Source organism: Homo sapiens, chromosome 5 (genome assembly GCF_000001405.40).
Source record: "Homo sapiens chromosome 5, GRCh38.p14 Primary Assembly".
NCBI lineage: Eukaryota > Metazoa > Chordata > Mammalia > Primates > Hominidae > Homo > Homo sapiens.
The window spans coordinates 119,333,113-119,339,677 of NC_000005.10; the positions used below are offsets into that span (position 1 = coordinate 119,333,113).

At 43.1% G+C, this 6,565-nt stretch overlaps 1 protein-coding gene across 5 annotated transcripts in view, besides 2 other annotated features; it reads left to right on the top strand.

Moving 5' to 3' along the window:
- TNFAIP8 (TNF alpha induced protein 8) overlaps positions 1–6,565 on the top strand; it is a 130,930-nt gene that overhangs the window by 64,354 nt on the left and 60,011 nt on the right. Inside the window, exon 1 of one of the 5 annotated variants that reach the window (NM_001286814.1) lies at positions 63–519. The exons of 3 other annotated variants lie outside the window; for them this stretch is intronic. In NM_001286814.1, the coding sequence (NP_001273743.1) occupies positions 453–519 (67 nt within the window). In that variant the 5' untranslated portion in view covers positions 63–452. Of the gene's footprint in view, positions 1–62; positions 520–6,565 lie in introns of those variants that run through there. One more of the 5 variants, XM_017009328.2, reaches the window with a different exon arrangement.
- Positions 288–337: an enhancer, noted in NCBI's record as "active region_22972". NCBI's record gives its function as "activates an Ori minimal core promoter by ATAC-STARR-seq in GM12878 lymphoblastoid cells {active_cell/tissue: GM12878}" and the evidence as "EXISTENCE:reporter gene assay evidence [ECO:0000049][PMID:35858748]".
- Positions 1,715–1,774: an enhancer, noted in NCBI's record as "active region_22973". NCBI's record gives its function as "activates an Ori minimal core promoter by ATAC-STARR-seq in GM12878 lymphoblastoid cells {active_cell/tissue: GM12878}" and the evidence as "EXISTENCE:reporter gene assay evidence [ECO:0000049][PMID:35858748]".

A 6,565-nucleotide genomic window follows, 5' to 3' on the forward strand; every position in this document is an offset into this window, starting at 1 on the left:
TTTTCTAAGTATCTGTTTCTATTTTCTAGCATGTTGAAACGTTAGACTTCCTGTTTCTGCTTGATTTTGAATATACTCCTGTTTGCTTGTCACAGGTAATCTTGCATTTCTATGTAGTTGTAGTTTACAGGGAGCAAGTGCAGGCAGCAACCAGTCCATCCCTGTTGTGAATGTGGAGACCTCTCTGGACTCACAATTAAAGGCTACCTAATGCATTCCACTACAAGTGACGAAACCTAGCTCCCAGAATAACAAGCAAGACAACTTTCAAAGTGACTGTAGTTGACCAGTGCCTTCTGTGCATTTATGTGGTAAGCTTATGGTAGATTTTTCAAAAGAATAGTATAAATTATTTTGAATTATTCTTGAGAAGGACTGAGTCTCCCCGAGGGTGATGCAGGTTCCATAGTGTACACGTCAACAGGGTGGTTGCATGCATTCCTCAAGTCTGTATGACTCTACCAAGATACTGTGAAGTTGTCCTTCTGATTGCACACGGGGAGAAAATGCTGAAACTAGGTGAGTTAAAACGGCCTTCAGAATATGTTTAGATATAATGTCTTTGTTGAAATCTGGTAAAATGTTCAGATGACTAACATAGTATTGCTGTCTTCAAGGAAATAATGTTTGGTCGTGGCTTTAGAGCTACTGTGTTCAACAAATCACTGTTTTGTTTTGTTTTGCTATGGCTCTGGGTGTGGGGAACCAGTGTTAAGCAGGGAGAGGTATGAGTATTGTGGGTGGAAAAATGACATTTAAAGTTTGCATGTAGACAGTTTCATTTGTAAACAGATAAAGATTTGAAATGTTTCAGAGATGGGACTCTGAAAAGATTGGATGGCTTTTTCACTCAGAGTTTCTCTTTTACATTTTCCATGCGTTTATTAACTGTAGGACACCTCTGGTTCCCAGTGGTCTGGTAGCAGTGGTAACACCGTGGGGCAACCCGTAAACACAAGGCTGTTTATTTCTATTCTCTTATTGGATAATTGTTTGAATATTGCTGTTGCCATTTTCTCTAACAACCAAAAAAAAAAAAAAACGGTTTACCTTACATATAAAGCATTTTGTACTTTTAAAATAACACCTTAGGTTTGTTTTTAGCCATACTTAATGCTCCCACAAGTAGACTTAATTTTATTTTTAAAGTAAATTGAAAAAGTTATCAAGGATTAGAATAGAGTGTTTTAAATAGCCCTTAAAGTTATATTGGTATTTATACACTTTTGTTCAAGTTGATATATAATATTTGCTTAGGTTTACTTAAAATTGTTCTGCTCAACAGATTTTTTGGAGCTTAAATTTAATACTAGGGAAAAACTAGAATTTGGAAGACATAGGTGGGTGTTGGTATAGCTAATCTTTTGGTCCATTATTGAACCCTTGGCAGCCAATAAATATTATTTCATAGAGTCCTGACTTCTCTTGTATGGAATGTGGTCACCTGCATATCATTTATAGTAAATGTACATTCGTCTACTAGATGCCTAGAGCTGTGCATGTGATCCTTTCGTGTGTGTGTGTGTGTGTGTGTGTGTGTGTGTGTGTATACCTGGGAGTCTGAGGCAGGAGAATTGCTTGAACCTGGGAGGTGGAGATTTCAGTGAGCCGAGAATCGCACCACTGCACTCCAGCCTGGTGACAGAGTGAGACTCCGTCTCAAAAAAAATGGTTATGTGTCTGTGACTGTATGTCATTGCATATATAGAGTTGAGATCAGAGCCAGCTTTGCTTGGGAGGATTTTGTGGAAGAAGTGAGTTTTGGGTAGAGTTCCAAAGGGAGGGTAGGTAGCGTACTTTGGCAGAAAGACGTGTACATAAAGCTTCCAAGGCTGGAGTGATTAAGTCATAAGCATTCAAGGGTAAGCATGAACCATTTGAGAACGAACTGTAAATTCGTGGTTGAAAATAGCCAGGCTAGAAGTGAAGGGGAGGCAAGGTTGTGCGTGCCAAGCTGAGAACCGTAGTGGCAGAGTGGCGCGTAGGAGCTTGTCTACTCTGTTCCTGGTAAATTTCACTCTTGGATATCAGCACATCCTGACCATGTTGCCATCTAGTGGAACTGGCTGAATTGCCTGTGGGAGCATCACCACCTTTTCCCAATTCAGGATAAACTCTAGTGTGATATCCTGGCAATAGGGAAACGTACTTCTCTTTTGCCTAGGAATTTTAAATGAACGAGAGAGAGGAGGTGAGTGCTCTCCCCAAATCACATTAATTTAAGGAATTTCTCATAGACAGTGTCTGGAGTCCATGGCATGACTGCTGAGAATGCTGGGTGTAAATGTCCATCAGCTTAAGGTATGGAGCGAGCAGGAAGCAGTGCTTGGGAGGTTCTGCAGTGGAGTGAAAGCATACCGCATCTCGCTCTGGGCCCTTTATGTTTCACCTGGGCTGGCTTGTTTTTGTCATGTGGTTACAGAGTCCATCCCAATGGCAGAGAGAGCCCTCTGACCATAAGCACCACACCCCACAGACCCCAGACCAAAGACATTGTAAAGGTCTGTAATCCTTCTGCCCTCCCTTCCAGCCATCCATGGACATATCTATTCAGCAAATACTTCTTGAATTATGTCCCAGGCACCTTCCAGGTACTAAGGCAGTGAACAAAGCAGATAGAAATCCCTGCTCTTGGAGAGCTGATATTCTAGGTGTGGGCAATAAACATCAACAAAATAAATAAGTAAAATATATAATAAGTGGAGAACCGAGTGCTAAGTAGAAAAAGATATTTTCAAGCTGAAGAGGGAAATAGGGATTGTTGCAGGGGGTGAGGGGGTGGAGGTGGGTAATTGTGGTTGCAATTGTGAGTGAATCCTCACTGAGAATGTGATTGATATTAGACTCACCTGAGAAGTGTGAGGAAGCCAGATGTGGATATCCTGGGGGAAGAACTTTCCAAACAGAGGGCAAGCGGCTGCAAAGGCCCTGAGGTGAGAATGGGCTGATGTGTTCCAGAAACAGTACAGAGGCTTAAGGGAGGGGGAGAGATGAGTCAGAGAGGTGGTGAGGGGCTAGATGGTGGGACCTTGTGGACAGTTATAATGAATTTGACTTGTACTGGGCATGAGATGAGAAGCCATTTGATTTAGTCCAATCTTCTCATTTACAAATGCAACGTAGGCCAAAGAAATCAAGGCAGGTGTCCCTGATCATCCAGCCTCATGGTGTGAGAGCTGGGATGAAAACCTGCCTCCTGCCTCTGGCACTCTTCCGGCCACCCTGCCTGCCCTGGGGGATACATAACCACATGCAGCTGTAGACTTCCAAGTACAGTGGTCTGAGAGGAAGAAAAGTGCTGTGGGCTCCTCCAGCACCTGTGTTTCAACCTGGTTCATCTTAGATATTCCCCTGCTGTGTCTCTGTCTACCTATAGAGGCCTCATAACAAACACAGAAAGCCTTAGACTTCTTATACTTCTTATTTCAGAGAAATACTCTGCTGAATATTGCCTTGCTTTGTTTTGCTATGGAGATAAATCCTTCAGGTTTTCCCAATGGTATTCTGCCCATTAGCTGTGAAGCACAAGAACCTACAGTCTCATAAAGCCTCCCCTATTTCTTATTTGCATTCATTTTTAAGCTATTTGGATATAATAAATATAAAATTTCTACAGTCCTAAGAAGTTTGATCACCCCATTCTCAGTATCACCCCCTCACCCTGAAAGTTGGTAAGACTGAATATTAAATGTTATTTAAAATGAATTTGAAAACAGGATTACTAGTTGAGGAGAGAATGTGAACTCGCCACCAAGTACAGCTTAACATGGACCATTTTGGCCCAATACTCATTGTCTTCTTGTTTTACTTTGAAAAAGCTCAAGCCTTTTTTTCCCCTTCTATCTCCTTTAGATCTTATGACCATTGTCCTCTGGACACAGGCCAAATCCTCTAATATCACTTTATGATGAAAGTCTGGCCAGTGCTAAGTATAGAAGAAAATGACTTTGTGCTGTCATCGGCATTGTCTCCTGTTTAATTGTCTCCTAGCCTGTATCCAGTGGACAAAGTGACATGAAATATTTGCTTGTGGAGAGAACTCATCCTGAATTCTCTTGCCTCATTCTTTCCCTTCCTGTTATAGCAGAGCTCCCATTCTAGACTATATGAGATTTACCTCATCATCATATCTTGCACTTGCATTTGTTTGTATAGCACTATTTCTTTTTTGCCAACCAAGGTGATTTCATGTTTATTTGTATATGTTGTCTATAAATGAGCTTGACATCCCACCAGCTTGAGCCATTAGGGTTAGCATTGATTTGCTTCCTTTGGTATCATTTCTCCTTTCAGTAAAATTGCCTGTCACTAGAACCTGAGGGCATAGACCTCTGTGGTCTTTTGGTTTCTATTTTTAGGAGAGTGGTGCTCCTCAGGGAGCTATCTGAGCTGGATTTGATGAGAAGCTAAGAATGAGTGCTTGCTGGAGGTAATTTCGTTATCAAAACTCAGGGTCATGTGCTTGGAAGTTAGCAGCCAGAAAAAAAAATAAAATAAAAAATGCCAAGGCTAATAGGACAACAAAGTACATGCAGAAATGCAGATATTAATGCGGGGCTGCCGTGAGCAGTAGGCCGTAAGAAAGCTTGACAAGAAGCATTTCTCCAGTTCCTGTTTACCATCTAAACTGGAGCATTACAGCATTTGCTGCATGTGGGAGATGGAGAATGAGAGTGCTCAGTTAAAGTTGCCACCAAAGAAAGCCTCATTAACACCCTAACTGATTTCCCCAGCTTCCAGAAAATCTTTCTGTTGGAATTCAGCATCTCAGCTGTAAGACTGCCAAGTAGAAGTGCAGAAATGCAGTTTGCTGTCTGCGGAGCCGCAGGTGGACTTTGAGCACATTCTAAGACAAAAATCTGGCCAGACCTTAATAGGCCAGGGCTTTCCGCTGATTTGCCCCTCTCCTGCTAACTGCTGAATAATGTTCCTCCCCTTCACCACATGTGCCCCTGAGCTCCTCACCACACCTTCAGCTCCTGGGAGAGATCCCAGGGCAGACCTGACATCCTCATTCCTGGCTCCTTATTCCAGATTGGAATCTGGAACTTTGACACACACACACACACACACACACACACACACACACACACACACACCTTCTCAGCACCTAGTCACACCCTACAAGTCTTGTCCTTTTTGCTCCTGTCAGGCAGGCAGCCACCCCCAGTATGACAAGGATATTCTCACATGGGGATTATCAGGAAGCCCCGTCAGGAAGGGTAGGGCAGCATCAAGCTGTGAGTCGGAGAGGAAGATCAGGGACCCAGGTCCTACCTTACAGACCCCCTACCCCATCTGTGCCTCTGTGGTGTCTTAGCATCCACCCATTTTTCCCCAGCCTTAGGACTCTGCTCTCTGCTATCAGTCACCAGACAGGCCAGACATGGCCCTGCTGGAGAGGAGGCTTTCGGGCTACCCTCTGGCCTTTGTTGGACAGCAGGCTTGAGGAAATGGGCAAAAGCATTGATCAGTTGTGCATCCTTGGGCTCCTTCACTCACTGTCCTTCAGGTGTTGGGAATGTTGTAAAGCCAGCAGCAAGATTAGAAATTTTCATGCACTATTCCTCCTTAGCTGCCCAGGATGTTACATCCGTTGTGGCTTTTACTGTACAAGAAAGAGAAACCCCAAGTTAGACTTGTTCATACAAAAGAGATTTTTTTGTTGGCTCACATAACTGGAACAAAGTTTTGATTTAGCAGTTCAGTGATGTCAAGAACCTATTTTCTAGCTTGGGCAACATCGTGAGACTGAGACTCTATATATACAAAAAGTAAAAAAGAATTAGCCTGGCATGGTGGTGTGTACCTGTAGTCCCAGCTACTCAGGAGGCTTAGGCGGGAGGATGTCTTGAGCCCAGGAATTTGAGGCTGCATTGAGCTATGATTGTGCTACTGCACTTCAGCCTGGAAATAGAGCAAGACTTTGTCTCTTAAAACAAAAAAAAAAGGCCCCATTTTCTGCCTTCTGTGATTGAGCTTCATCCTGAATTGGCGTCTCTGATGTTGATAAAATTCTACAGCAATTCTAGACTTCATATCCACCATACACTGTCCAGAAGGAGAGAGAGAACTGGCTTCTTGTAGTTGTGTCAGAGAAGCAAGTGACTTTTTCCAGAAGCCCCCAACACATTTCTGATGCCTCAGTGACCAGCTTATTGGCTATGGCATCTGCTGTGATGATTGGCTTAGGCTTGGGTTGCCTAAACTCGTCACTCTGTGGCAAGGGGGTATGGGATTTCTGTGATTTATTTAAAATGATCAGGATTGCTACCCAGGGAGAGAGAAATGGACATGCTGTTGGGTCAGCCACGATGTCTACTACACAGGTCTCCTCTTGTGGTGTTTTTTTTTTTTTTTTTTTTTTTAAACTGAGTTTCTCTAATTTGGTGACTGGCTATGGTATGTAGTAAATGGGGCCCTGTATATGGGATTGCCAACCCCTGATGACAAATGTCAGATGCTATCAGGGAGAGCAAGAACACAGATTTTGTGAACCACAGTAGCACTGCAGATCACAAAGGGATTCTCAGAGGTCGATAAAGCATCACCAAGGTACTAGAAG